The 15,325-nt window shown below is 45.1% G+C and overlaps 1 protein-coding gene across 10 annotated transcripts in view; it reads left to right on the forward strand.

Annotated features, from left to right (window-relative positions):
* The window catches only part of PBX3 (PBX homeobox 3), a 220,005-nt gene extending 216,353 nt beyond the window's left edge, over positions 1–3,652 (forward strand). For all 10 annotated transcript variants that reach the window (NR_024122.2, NR_024123.2, NM_001411009.1 and 7 more), the window contains one exon: positions 2,106–3,652. Coding sequence is in view for 7 of the 10 variants with exons in the window: in NM_001411009.1 (NP_001397938.1) it covers positions 2,106–2,198 (93 nt within the window). In the remaining 3 variants the exon portion in view is untranslated. The remainder of the gene's footprint in view (positions 1–2,105) is intronic.
* The last annotated feature ends 11,673 nt before the right edge of the window (positions 3,653–15,325 follow it).

The raw sequence follows: 15,325 nt of genomic DNA on the forward strand, positions 1-15,325 counted from the left end.
TGTGGTGGATGGAGTCTGGGGTTCTAGACTTAGGAAGGAAATTAACTGCCCAGCTCACGGTAGTAGACTCAGGAAGAAAATGGGCAAAATTCTTCCTTTTTAGGGCCTTGGCTTGCTACGAGAGTAAATATTAATGATTTAAAAAGTGATTGAGGATGTTCAATTGTAAAGGGAAAAAAGGACCATTAAATACTCAAATCTTTTACATTTGAAATGTCAAATCTTTCTTTTTGGGCTTATAAATAACTCATAATAACCCACAACAAACCATATAAAAAGCCTTTTAGTTGCATTTCTCCTTTTTCATTTAAGTGTTTTGAAATGCTTCAGAGAATGTGCGATATCCTTATCAACATGATAAAATATGAAACTGTGATTGCCTGCAGCATTTTACAGACATGAATTCCATCTTCACTGATGAGGCTTGATAAGGCGCTGTTGTATAATACAGTGCATAATCTCAAACCACCAGAGTAAGGATTAATTTATTTTGAAAAAAAAGAATGCTTGCTGACAACCTCTCCTCCAGCTGCCATGCTGGGTAAAAATATTGTACATTTGTTGTTTATAAATTTGGATAAAAGAGGAATGATGTTTACTTCAGATGGAATATCTTTAGACTTGTATCTGTGTGAGAGTTTTTCTTTTCCTAAGTAGATTTTCATACCTGAGGGGGGAAACAGCTTACCTTTTAGAGAAGAGGATTTCTGAGAGTCCACCGAACACACATGGGCATGTCATTAGCCAACCTGGCAAAACAGAGGCTTTAAAACAATACCACCATAGCTTTTTTTTTTTTTTAAATACTGTTTCCTTTTGTTTTTCCTAACCTGAATTTGATATGCCTCAAGCCTGGAAAATCCTCTTCCCTTAGGGTCTGGTCATCTCTGTGGGGTTCTTAGGTCATAGAGGTAGAAAAGGTGCTTTGCATGCCAACTCTGCAGTGAATTAGAAGACAGGGAGTTCTCCAGGAACTGTGATCACAGAAGAAGAAACAATGGCTGCCACATGCTCATCTAGGAGCTGTATCTAGGCTGGGCAGGGAATCTAGACAAGAGTTCTCAGCAGCCTGGCAGCCCAGGCCTGAAAGAGGGCATTTTGGATGGACTTGCAGAGGAAGTTGCAAATAGATGTGAGGGAGGCAGGAGGCACCTTATGACCCACCCTGACATTGGTGTAGGAGGTCCGGGTCTGGGGGCAGCATGGCGGCAGAGGGTGGTTGGTGCTGCAGGCACGGGGAGCCTGCTCACCCTCACCTCCTCTCCAGAAAGGCCTGCCCCATCACTTCCACTCAGTGTTCCCCAACTCACGAGGCTGGCACCTCCCTCTTCCTGACTGACATAAAAATATGTAGCGACAAGCTGTCTGCCACAGCAGAAATCTGATCAGACATTGATTTCAGCAATTGCCACTATAGGCCAAGACATAAGGCAAATTTGTTTCTGAGTACGGTTATTGCTGCTGCAGGTCTGAGGCAGGAAGGGCCAGCAGCATGTGGAAGGTGGGAGCAACATCCCAAATAGGAGCCTCAGCCACAGATAATTGGAATACAGATTTTAACAGTGTGTGCTGCTCTGCGGCTCATGCATTTTCATTCTGGAAGATCCTATTTGGAGGGAAATTCTGGCCTTCACTTTCCAAGGGTTACAGTAGCTGGCTGTCAGGCGTGTATGGAAAAAGGGTGGGCAACTGCTTCTCTATGGAAATGATGATTAAGCCGGGGTGAAGTTTAGACTTCATGGAGCCCTGGGTTTCGCTGAGGCATTGCATTGAGCTTCTCCACTGCTCCCTTCTGAAGAGATTTCTTTTTGAGTCACTTTAGTTTTACCAGCAGATCAAAGGCCGAGCTCGATGCCAGCATGGGCCTCGCTGAAGCCCTTCTTCGGCGTGTTGATTTATTGCCAAGACTTTACTTGATGGGATGGATTTGTTTTACATGCATTTAATCCCACTTTAACACATGCTGCCAACTCCTGCCACAGTGGGTTTAGAAAATACATTTTGCTAATGCATCTCTGCTCTCATGTTGTCATCCGGGTGTTTTAAATTGGGGAGTAGAATTAATATGTAGACGTGCACCCGTTGAACTGTGTTTCTCCTTTCAGGCTAATGGAGGCTGGCAGGACGCAACAACTCCATCTTCTGTGACTTCTCCTACAGAAGGCCCAGGAAGTGTGCACTCGGATACCTCTAACTAATCTCTGGCCACACTTTTCCCTGAGCTACATGCCTTGATAAGTGCATTCAGAGCAATAGGAGGAAAAGGAAAGCGTTTTTGTAGCCCACCATCTACAGCTTTACTGTAAAACCTTGTCTTATTCGAGAACTTGGTAAATCTGTTTTTTAAGGAATCATAATCATTTGTATTTATACTTAAAAACACACAATGTTAAAAAAAATAAAGCACTTTATCCAATTAGGCCAAGATTTAACATTGTTGACAGTCCTGTAGCTATTTTATCATAATTTATTATCAATATTTTACATTAATGGTTTCACAGTTGCCAATTACTTGGCCTTAAGGGTAAAAAGTACAATATACACTAAACCTCAACCGTTAAAGCAGATGCAAAAATTCACCTCACCTAAATTGAACTTCTTGCATATTTCCATTACTGACTTGGATTGTCTTTCTTTCATATCACTAATGGAGTTGGAATAAAGAGCTGTTTGCCTATCCCTGTTAATGATGGTTGTGTTTAAGAATCTTCCTCGTCACGTTTGTGTTCAGATCTCTTATGTTATAATTAGATCAGAGACTGGTAGCATCGTTTCTCTCTCTGAAAGCACCAGTGCCCAGAGTCTGCTCGGTAATAAAATTATGGATCCAGATTGTTCTGAGAGACGAAGATACTTGCTGCTGATAGAGGTGAAAACGAGATTGATCCGTCTGGGGTTTTACGGTGTGCACTGGGTGCTGCACAGACTTGTCAAGGTTTGCTACGTCCTCTGGGCATCTGCAAAAGGCCCTGCTCTCTGGAGTGTTGTATATAGTGTAGCAAAAGAGTATTTATACATCCCACCAATCAAAACACAGCTTTATTACCTCATGCGAACTCATACAAACCAATAGAATTTCAACATGTTCTGTAGCTTAGAGTGCTCACTTACTACCTCTGAACAATACTCACGCTGTAGTTTGTCTCTTTCTTATCTTTTTGCATCTTGTAATTAACTCTTTGTTTCCCTTCATAAAATGTAATGTACATTGTAATCTTTTAAAAGAAAAATCAGGGTTGCACTTGCAACTTTTAAAAAACCGAGTGTGGAAACATTGGGTCTTAATTCAACACAGGATCGGTAAAACTGTTGTAAATACTGAGAAACATTTTGAATGTTCTTCATCTTATTACTAATCCATGCAAAAAAAAAAAAAAAAGCAGCGACTAATTGTGATGCATTCAGATTTCAGTATTCAGTACTGTATATTTCACCCTGTGTAATGGGGCCCCCTCTCCTTTCTCTCTTTTTGTATTGTATGCGATTCTGAAACTGATTGAGTCATGAAAATAATTTGTGGCGGTGATTCTAATGTATTAAAAACGTTTCGTGTTCCTTTCTAACTGGATTACACCCTGGATTGAAAAAGTCTTCCTCGTGGTAGTTATATGTAGTTTCAAACATGAATAAACTTTTTGCTTTCATGATTAAATTTTGATGCAGTTTCTTACTTCACTATTTGAGCCAGCCAAGTGCAGGCAGAGGAGAAAGTGCACCCAGCACCAGGCCTGGGAGTGTAACTGCCTCCTGTCAGAGACCACTCTGAGATGACGGTGAGGCTGGGAGGGAAGGAACAGCTGCTGTTGAGTGTGCAGGCACCGTGCCACCTACTGAACCATTGTTAGGAGTCCTCACTTGATCCTGATGTGCTCAGTAACACCGCAAGGAAAACTCCCCATTTTCATAGATTAGGAAACTGAAGCTCAGAAAACTTAAGTGAATGCCAAAAGGTCACAGACCTAGGACAGCAAGAGGTCACACCTTGAACCCAGGTCTTTCTGCCCTCAGCTCACACTCTCCTGACCTAGTGATGCCTTTGGCACTTGTTAGATGGATTTTTTTTTTTTTTTTTTCTTGAGATGCAGTCTCACTCACTGCAGCGTAAAACTCCTGGGCTCAAGCGGTCTTCCTGCCTCAGCTTCCTGAGTGGCTAGGACTACAGGTGTACACCACCATGCCTGGCTAATTTTTCTTTTTTGTAGAGACGTGGCTTGCTATGTTGCCTAGGCTGGTCTGAAACTCCTGGCCTCAGGCAATCCTCCGACCTTGGCCTCCTGGAGCTCTGGGATTACAGGTGTGAGCCACTGGACCTGATTGAAAAGATTTTTTTTTAAGTTCACTTATTTTTCTTTTTTAGAGATGGATTCTGACTGTGTTGTCCAGGCTGGTCTTGAACTTCTGGGCTCGAGCAATTCTCCTGCCTTGGCTTCCCAAAGTGTTGGGATTACCGGTGTGAGCCACTGCGTCTGGCATACATTTGCTTCTTCACCTTTAACTTCTTTACAGTTAAAGACTAACAAAAGTTTGGAAAGAATGGACCTCAGATGCCGTTGAAAAAACAATCCCTGCAATATTCAACATACCTTTTTAAACTCTAAATTTGTAATCTTCTAAGACCAATTAAAAATCTTTTAACTGGATTTAACATGTTTTCTTCAAATTGTTAGAAATTCCATATGTTTACATATACATCTGTCGCTAATATCTAAATCTTTATAATAAAAGAGGTCAATGGCAGGTAATTGGCCTGTTTACTATATCTCAAGGAAACTGACCCACAGGAAATCAGATTAATGTTAATTAGTTGCAGCAAATTGTCTATGATAGATATAACTGTTTGACTCTTTCAGTTGGTAAAGCCAGGCAAAACAAGGTCTAGGGCCACCATTCCCATTAATCTCCAGGCAGTTACACTGTGAGGGTAAACTTTATAAAATAGATTGCCCTCCAAAGCTGTCCTCCCTCACTTGGTGCTCAGCCTGCCTGTAGGAATTGCTCCCATGGCTAAATAGTTATTTGCATGATTCAATTAGCTTGTGGGTCAGCCTTTCTCATCTTTGTAAATAAAACAATATATGCTATGTGGTTTTGCAAAAATATACTGTGGGAACATAATACATATGCACACCCAGATTCATCTTTAACATTCCAAAGCAGACACTTCCTCAGAACCGCCTTGAGTCTCACCTTGGACCAGTGTGTGGAGAGAAGCACACGCCAGTGCTTGTAGGAGATTCACACGTTGACTAGCAACCCCTGAGGGAATTGTGGGTGTCTCTGTTATCCTAGGGAGGCCGAAATGAAAATAGCAATGCTCTTCCTACGTGCTGTGTTAGGAAGCATGTGCACGTTTTCTCTCTTCACTCCTCACCACCTCTCTGGGAGGGTAGAAGCATCCTCACTTCATAGGTGAGGAAACTGGGCCATCACACAGGCTCTCTGGCCCAGCCTCTGGTGTCCCCTGGGGTTTGTAAAGCTCTCCAGACATTGAGACTGTGCAGGCATGTCTCACTCCAAATTGGGTGAAATCAGTCATTGATTTTAATAGATTTTCACCAGGTACCTTTTCTGCATCAAGCAGTGGGTTAGAGGCTAGACTCAGAGATGAGTAAAACCAGACCCCACCCCCTGACCTAGCCCTTCTTGCTCAAGAAGCCAACACTTACTGAGAGCATCGGAAAGCCTGGTGGGCTTCTGAGCCCTGGGACTGGAGAAGTGGGGGTCCAAAAACCCATTACAAGATCAGAGAATAACAACAGGAAACTTCCAGAAATACCCAGTCACAGGCGAAGGGGCCTGTTCACATACCGCTCAATGCACAAGAACCCATGTCCTTACTTGAGAGTCCATGTGTGTTCACAAGCATGTGGAGCCCAAGGGCCTGTGCAGCTGTCCATGTGGGGATGGGTGTCAGGCTTCTGTTTGGGGTGCACGGGTGGTGTGGGAGTCTCTTAAATCTATTGGACCAGGTGGCCTTGCAAACCAAGTTAGGGCTGTTCTGTAGCCCCCAAACCAAACAATGTCCGTGTGCCATTCCCTGGCCAGAAGTGGGGGTGGGAGGTGGCAGTATTCCAGAGAAGTGAAGAAGTAACGTTGGGCTGAGTCTCCCAGGTGGGGTGAAATGAGTGCTGGTGCCAGAAGAAAGGGTCCTCCCCTGTGGGCCAGCCCCCCACCAAGCACCTCCCACACAGTATCTCATTTAATGCCGGTGGAGTCCCACGAGGGGTGCTATTATCTCATTTTCCCATGGGAATCTGGGGCTCAAAGAAGCGACACCACCTGTCCAGAGCTGGGGTTTGCCCTGTGAAGTCCCCATGTGCCACATTCAGCAGCCACTAGTATCAGACAGGCTCTGGTGAACTTGGGCCATCAGGCCTCCAGTATGAGGTCCCGTCTTGGGGGGAGGTGACCAGGGAAATCGTCCCTGCTTGTGGCTTTCCTGCCCATGCCTCAGTTGCCTGGGCCACCTGAGTATGGGTGTCTGGTGGGGGTGGTGTGTGTGTATGTATGTGTGTGTGTGTGTGTGTGTGTGTGTGTGTGTGTGTGTGTGTGGCATGTGTCACAGACTGTGTGTATGTGTGGGGGGGTGCTATCTGTGTCCACGGATCATGGGATTGGAGGTGAGAAACAGGAAGACCCCCTTTTCTCCGGCTGTGCTGGGCTGGGCCTGGCACTAATGGGGGCAAACAGAGCACCTCCCTGGGAGGGCAGCTGTCACAGTGAAGGTTCTGGAGCCAGCAGCATGGATTTGAATCCTGGCTCTGCCTCCTACCAGCTGAAGTTCTGAGTGCAGGCCTGGGCACGTTCTCCACGTGTACTTTATCATGGGTAGAATTCTGCCTGGGCTTCAGTGTGTATCCACGTCCCCATGGGTGTCTTCCCAAGTCCCAGGCTCTGCCCCGCTCAGCTCTGGCCCCAGTCTCCTTAGCTCTCCTGGCCAGACAACCAGCTCTGGGTTTGAACAGATCTCACCCCCAGGTTCTGGAACCCAAAAGATGTGTTTTTATTTTTTTTATTTTTTTATTTTTTATTTTTTTTGAGACAGAGTCTTGCTCTTGTCTAGGCTGGAGTGCAGTGGTGCAATCTCAACTCATTGCAACCTCCACCTCCCAGGTTCAAGTGATTCTCCTCCCTCAGCCTCCTGAGTAGCTGAGACTACAGGCTCCTGCCACCACACCTGGCTAATTTTTTGTATTTTTAGTAGAGACAGGGTTTCACCATGTTGGCCAGGCTGGTCTCGAACTCCTGACCTCAGGCAATCCACCCTCCTAGGCCTCCCAAAGTGCTGAGATTATAGGCGTGAGCCACCACAGCCGGCCCAGATGTGGATTTGAATCCTAGCTTTGCCTCCTACCAGCTGTGTACTCTTGGGCAAGAGACTTAAAGAAGGAGCCTGTCCCCTCATTCCCTGTTCTTGGAACGTCCTTCTGCACCATCTCCCCTGATGAATGCCTGTCCTTCAAGGCCAAGGCCAATCCCAGATCACTGTGCCCTCCAGCAGAGCCCAGACCTGCCATTCCCCTTGTGCAGCACTTTTTATCCCTACTGGACATCCCAGCAGAGGCCCTACAGAGTTGGGAAAGGGAGGAGCTGGGAGGGAGGGAGCAGGGGGCATGGGGAAGGGTACACGAGAGAAGCTACAGAGGCAGGAGGCAGGAGATGCTTGCTCTTTAGCTGGTCCCAGACTCCCTCTTGAAATGCTCACAGCGGCCTCCCATGGAAGGTGCAATTATCATCTCCATTTCACAGACAGGGAGACTGAAGCCACTTGGCCAAATACACACAGAGCCAGAATGTCAGTCTGAAGCCTAAACTCACACTCTTTTTTTTTCTTTTGAGATGGAGTTTCGCTTTTGTTTCCTAGGCTGGAGTACAATGGCGTGATCTCAGCTCACTGCAACCTCCACCTCTTGGGTTCTAGTGATTCTCCTGCCTCAGCCTCCTGAGTAGTTGGGATTACAGGCACGTGCCACCACATCGGGCTAGTTTTTTTTTTTTTTTTTTTTTTTTGGTAGAGGCGGGGTTTCACCATGTTGGTCAGGCTGGTCTTGAACTCCTGACCTCAGGTGATCCACCTGCCTTGGCCTCCCAAAGTGCTGGGATTACAGGCGTGAACCACTGCGCGTGGCCAACTCACATTCTTATTCCTTTGTGCCTTGCTATCTTGTCAGTGTCTCTTTCTCATCATGCTGGGTCTGCAGGTTCACTATGAGCCTTAGGCAGGGCAGAGCGGAGAAGGGGAAGAATGCCGGTCTCCTCCCAACACCCCATCAGAGCCATTGGCACCTTTCCCCAGCAGCTGAGGATCCCAGAGACACCCTCAGGAAAGCTGCTGTGTCCACAGATGCTTCTGGCCAACAGTAGACCTGCAACTGGTCCCTGCTGAGCCCGGCAACCCAGCCCGTGGACAACTAGCACAACCACTCCCAGCCTGATGACTTGGCTGTGGCAGACTCAGCCATGTGCAGGTGGCCTGCTTCCGTCTGGGCGCCACCAAATGTACTGCCAGGAGCCACACCTCACGGCCAAGTGGGTACAGCCCCTTCACAGAGACAAAGAATGGATGCCCGGGGGCAGTGTGACCTCACAGCTAGGAAGCACTGTGGCTTAACGCTGATGAATATGGGCTCTTGAGTGAAACTACCCAGGGTTGAATCCAGGCCCTGCCTCCTGTCAGCTGTGTGTCCTTGGGCAAGTCACGTAACCTCCCTGTTCCTCAGTCTCCTCCTCTGTCAAGCACCTGCCTCCTGGCATCGCAGGGTAGATCACGCAAGTTGGTCCAGATAAAGCCCTTCGAGGCTGGCTGCTCTTATTCTCTATCTACAACCTGCCCTGTGGGGGTGATTTGCACTGGGATTCCAGCTTGCACAGATGCCACATGGCCCTTGCAAGTCTCAGGTCACCCACTGTGGATAAAACCCAGGTCTTCTGACACCCTGGTGGATGCATCTTCCTCCAAGCATGAAGAACCTGAGCACAGAGTCAGGCCGAGTCCTGCCACTCACCTGCTGTGTGATCTTGGCCATGGGATTTCTTCTCTCTGCAGCCTCAGTTTTCTCATCTGTAAAATGAGAACTTTGTTCTCACCTAACTTGTAGGGCTGTTGTAAAGATTGAGTGAGCTGCCGCACGCACTGGTGCCTGGCCGGGGATGGGGTGCATTTTCTCGTTGTTATTGCTACACTGTGCCCCGGGTCAGAAGGGGATGCCTGTCTCCAGCCCCTCCGGCTGGAATGATTACTTCTGGTCAGCCACAGGGTTACCAGGGCATGTCAATGGCCGAGTGAGGGTCCTGGGGATGGTGCAGCCTCCTCAGCCCACCTACTCCAGCCTGCCACCCCCAACCTTCAAGGCTGGCCTGAGGCCGAGGCCTCACCTCTCACCGCCATCTCAGGAGATAATAAAAGACTGATTCTTTTTTCCTGGTAAAATTTCAGCAGAAAGTGTATGCATCATTAAATATGGAAATCCAGAATTTTATTAGCAATCTGCTAGATCTGAACTGACGCCAATTAAACAAAAAAGATATCATTTATAAAAAGGCAGAGTTCAACTTGTATTAAATATGAAATGCAATTTTCTCCTGGTTTTGATTTATTACTGGTGGTCCATTGTTCAAAGAAGCATGTTATATTTCAATAGAGAAATATTGTTTATTCATTAATATTTTAAAACTGGCTTATTGCTGTGCATGGCTCTCACTGAATGAAACTTATGATTTAAAACATGAATTAATAAACACATTTGAAAGTGTTAGACGAGATCACAACCTCTCATTTTTCATTTTCCTGGGAGCATATTAAATTTTTATAATTCTGCATCTACAGTTTTTTCTTTTAAATAAAGATGCAGATTCCGAATTACTCTGCTAATTTCAGGTAACCAGGAGCGAAAAGCAATATCATAGGGACTGGTGTCAGAATCACAGAATCCCCAAGAAGATGCTCAGGTTTATTTTTGTAATATTCATAAATCAAAATAAATGAGCTTTGTGCAGGAGGCAGCGTTCATGCGCGTGAGGTGCCGGCTGGAGTAGGTCTCTGCATCGGGGCTGTCTATGTGTGCAGGTGGGTAGGGTGCATTGACGCTCACATGCACATGTGTGTGTGCTCCTGAGTGCTCCACAGAAACACACACGCATCACCCCAGCTGCTTGAGAGTGTGCAATCTGAATGCGTCTCAGTTTTTTGGTTCAATGGTCAAGCATTATTTATTGAGCACCTACTATGTGTCAAGCCATGCTGGTTACTGAGGATGAGCAGGTGACAGCAGGATCTCCTTGCCCTTCTCCCACACAGCTGCTGGAGCCACCTCTCCTTCAGGACCTTGGGGGCTCTTGAGTTTCCCACAGTCCCTTGAAACACCTTAAACAATGCCTTCTTTCTGGTGAGCAATTGGGAAATATTTCTTGCTGAGCGAATAGACTGGAAGCGTAGGGAAGAGAGAGATCTTTACAGGCTGGAGGTAAAGAAGAGCTTCTGCAAACATGAGTTGAATTAGACCAGGACAAAGGCACAGCCGGAGCTGGGCATGGTGCCTCACATCTGTAATCCCAGCATTTTGAGAGGGCGAGGTGGGAGATCTTTTGAGCCCAAGAGTTTGAGACGAGCCTGAGCATCATGGTAAAACCCCATATTTACAAAAAATACAAAAAGTAACCAGACATGGTGGTGCACGCCTGTAGTCCCAGCTACTCAGGAGGCTGAAGTGGGAGGATCACCTGAGCCTGGGAGGTCAAGACTGAGGTGAGCCAAAACAGTTGGAAGAAATGGAGTCAGGAGAGAGGGGTGTGTCCTGAGGACAGGGAGGAACTTCCATCTGTGGAGTACCCTTCGCACCGACAGCTCACACCCTGCGCAGCCCCTGCTGATCCCAACTTACTGCTGCCTTCCAAACTCCCTATGAGACATGTGCTGTCATGAACCCATTTTACAGTGGAGGCAGCAGAGGCTTGAGAGGGTAAAGATTCGCACACAAGGTCTCAGAGTCAGTAAGTAGCTTGCCTTTGGGTCTAGGTCTGGGGTCCATGCTGTCTCTAAATAGGCCAGGCCCAGAAAGACAGTGTGCAAAATAGGCCAGTGGGGTTGTGTTGTCCCAAGTTATGTGGGGAGGCAGGGGTTTGCAGGAGTCTTGGGGAAGGGGACTTGGACATGGCCTGGGGACAGTAGAGGCCCAGGAAAGTCACCAGCGCCCCCAGGAATAGTGCTGCCCTGCTCCCCCCGTCACACACACACATGCAAGCGTTTCTCTAGAGTGGAATTGCTGGCCTTGTGTAGGCACCCCTCTTCAGCCTTACTAAGGGACACCAAATTGTTTTCCAAAGTGGTTGTACCAGTTTACACTTCTGCAGGGGAACGGCATGGCCTGGGTGGGGGACACTGGAGGAGGTATTTTCAATTTTCTTCCCACCTGGTGGTTAGATAATGATATATCAATGTGATTGTAATTTGAATTTGTATGATTATTAAAGAGGTTGAGCATCTTTTCACATGTTTATTCATTATTTGCATTTTCTCTTCTTTTAAGTGCATGTTGGAGCCATTTACCCATTTTTTCTTACATCTTTTGTCTTTTTCTTATCGATTTGTAAAAATTTATTTATTTATTTGTTTGTTTGTTTGAGACAGAGTCTCGATCTGTGTCGCCCAGGCTGGAGTGCAGTGGTGTGATCTCGGCTCACTGCAACCTCCGCCTCCCGGGTTCAAGTGATTCTCATGCCTCAGCCTCCTGAGTAGCTGGGATTACAGGCATACACCACCACGCCCAGCTAATTTTTGTATTTTTAGTAGAGACGGGTTTTTGCCATGTTGGCCAGGCTGGTCTCAAACTCCTGGTTTCAAGTGATCTGCCTGCCTTGGCCTCCCAAAGCACTGGGATTACAGGTGTTGAGCCACCGTTCCCAGCCAATGTCTAGGATGTTTTAATGAACAGTTCAGTACTTAATTTTAAAGAAAGCAATTTTGGCTGGCTGTGGTGGCTCATGCCTGTAATCCCAGCACTTTGGGAGGCCGAGGCTGGTGGATTGCCTGAGGTCAGGGGTTCGAGACCAGCTTGGTCAACATGGTGAAACCCTGGCTCTACTAAAAATGCAAAAATTAGCCAGGTATGGTAGCACATGCCTGTAATCCCATCTATTCGGGAGGCTGAGGCAGGAGAATCACTTGAACCCTGGAGGAAGAGGTTGCAGTGAGCTGAGATCACGCTGCCGCACTCCAGCCTGGGCAACAGAGCAAGATGCCATCTCAAAAATAAAATAAAATAAAATAAAATAAACAATTTTTAAGTTCCTTTATAGTTACTCCTTTTTGCATATGGTTTGAGGTAGGGGTCTGATTGTCCCACACAATTTATTGGAAAGTTCATCTTTGCCCCACTGGTCTGCAGTAGCATCTCCATCATGCGTCAAGTGTCTCCATGTGTTGATCTGCTCCTGGGCTGTCCTGGCTGTTGAACTGTGTGTCTATCTCTGAGCCAGTGTGGTAACACTGGCTTCACTCTCAGAGTTTTATAATTAGTCTTGATACCTGATACAGCAAGCTCTCTCACTTTGTTCTTTAAGAATACATTGGCCATTCTTAGCCCTTTGCGTTTCTGTAGAAATTTTAGAATTAGCTTGTCAAGTTTCATTTTTAAAAATCGTTGGAATTTTAATTGAGATCACATTGAATAAATAGATGAAGGGAGGGGAATTGACATCTTCAAAATATTGAGTCTTTTAATCCATGAACAAGACATCTATCTTCATTTATTTAGATCTTTTAAAATGTCTTACAATAAAATTTTATAATTTTCTCCATCAAAATCCTCAGGCTCCTTACACCCTGGTACCAGGCCCCTCCATAATAAAACTCCAAATTTCTCTTTGTCTAAACTTTCTCTGTTTGGGCCATGTCCAGGGGTCTGGCCTTTCTCAACATGAAGTCCCATCCAAAGTGTGGCACCACTCTCTGAGAAGCAAGATCCTCTCTCTTGGACTATGAAGTCAGACAACTCTCCCCTTCTGCTTCCCCACTCCCTGTCTCCTTCTTCCCTCCCTTCCTTTCTTTTTCCCTCCCTTCTTCTCCTTCCTCCCTCTCCTTCCCTCCTTTCTGTCTCTCCTTTCTTCCTCCCTCCCTCCCTTCTTTCCTCTCTCTCCTTTATTCCTCCCTTCCTTCCTCCCTCTCTCCCTCCCTCCCTTCCTTCTGTTCTTTTTTGTTATTAATTAATAAACTTGATTTTTTAAAGCAGTACTGAGTGGAAAGTGCAGAGTTCCTACACACCCCTGTCCCCCCTAACACACAACCTCCACAACATCCCCCACAACAGAGGTACTTCTGTTACAATCAATGAAACTATGTCGACATGTCAGTATCATCCAAAATCTGGAGATTACATTAGGGTTTGCTTTGGTGGTGTACATTCTATGAATTTTGACAAATGTACAATGACATGTATCCACCATCGTAGTATCATACAGAATGGTTCCAATGCCCTAAAAATCCTCTGCACGCTGCCTTTTATCTTTCCCTCCCCCTAACCCCTGTCAACCACTGATCCTTTTATTGTCTCCTTAGCTTTGCCTTTTCTAGCATGTTATATAGTTGGAATCAGATAGTATGCAGCCTTTTCAGACTGGCTTATTTCACTTAGCAAAATGCATGTAAGTTCCCTCCATGTCTTTTCATGGCTTGCTGGCACATTCCTTTTTATTGCTGAGTAACATTCCATTGTCTGGATGTGTCACAGTTTATTTACTCACCTACTGAAAGACATCTTAGTGCCTTCCAAGTTTTGGCAATTATAAATAAAGCTACTGTACACATTTGTGTGAGGTTTTTTTGTGGACCTAAGTTTTTAGTTCATGTGGGAAAATACAGAAGAGTATAACTGCTGGATTGTATGGTAAGAATATGTTTAGTTTTTTTAAAAACTGCCAAACTATCTTCCAAAGTCACTGTAGCATTTTGCATTCCCTCCAACAATGAATATGAGTTCCTGTTGCTCCACATCCTCTCCAGCATCTGGCATTGTCAGTGTTTGAGATTCTGGCCATTCTAGCAGGTGTGTTGTGGTATTGCATTGTTGTTTTAATTTTCAGTTATCTAGTGACGTATGATGTTCTTTTCATTTGCTTATTTGCCATCTGTACATCTTCTTTGGTAAAGCGTCCAACTCTTTTGCCATTTATTTTATTTTTTTTTAAGACAGAGTCTCTCTCTGTCATCCAGGCTGGAGTGCAGTGGCCCAATCTTGGCTTACTGCAACCTCTGCCTCCCAGACTCAAGCCATCCTCCCACCTCAGCCTCCTGAGTAGCTTGGGACTACAAGTGTGCACCACCACGCCTGGCTAATTTCTGTATTTTTTTGTAGAGACAATGTTTCACCATTTTTCCCAGGCTTGTCTCAAACTCCTGAGTTCAAGGGATCCACCTGCCTCAGCCTCCCAAAGTGCTGGAATTACAGGAAGTGAGCCACCATGACCAGCCTTGCCCATTTTTAAATTGGGTTGTTTGTTTTCTTCTTGATGAATTTTAATTCTTTGTATATTCTGGATAACAGTCTTTTATCAGATGTGTCTTTTGCAAATATTTTTTCTGAGTCTATGGCTTGTCTTCTCATTCTCTTGACATTGTCTTTTGGAGACCAGAAGTTTTAAATTTTAATAAAGTCCAGCTTATGAATTCTCTATTTCATGGATTGTGCCTTTGGGGTTGAATCTAAAAATTCATCACCATACTCAAGGTCATTTACGTTTTCTCTTATTTTTTTCTAAGAGTTTAATAAGTTTTGCACTGTATACTTTATAGAGTCTATAATTGATTTTGAGTTAATTTTTGAAAAGGGGGTAAGCTTTGTGCCTACATCATATTTTTGTATATGGATGACCAGTTATTCCAGCACTATTTTTGAAAAGACTATCTTTGTTTCATAACCTTTGCTCTTCTGTCAGCTTACGATACTTATGTGGGTCTGTTTCTGGTTTCTCTATTCTGTTCCACTGATCTATTTTTCTATTCTTTCACCAATACCATACTATCTTAATTACCTTAGCTTTGCAGTAAGTCTTGAAGTTGGGTAGTGTCAGTCTGACTTTGTTCTTCTCCTTCAACATGAACCAACTATTCTGGGTCTTTTACCTCTCCATATAAATTTTAGAATCATTTTGTCTATGTCTACAAAATAACTTGCTGGGATTTTGACTGGGTTGTGTTGAATATATAAATCAAGTTGAGAAGAATTGACATCTAGACAATATTGACTCTTCCTATCCATGAACATGAACTATCTCTCCATGTATTTTACTCTACTTTGTTATCTTTTGTCAGAGTTTTGCAGTTTTCCTTATA

The sequence above is a fragment of the Homo sapiens genome, chromosome 9 (genome assembly GCF_000001405.40).
Source record: "Homo sapiens chromosome 9, GRCh38.p14 Primary Assembly".
Classification (NCBI taxonomy): domain Eukaryota; kingdom Metazoa; phylum Chordata; class Mammalia; order Primates; family Hominidae; genus Homo; species Homo sapiens.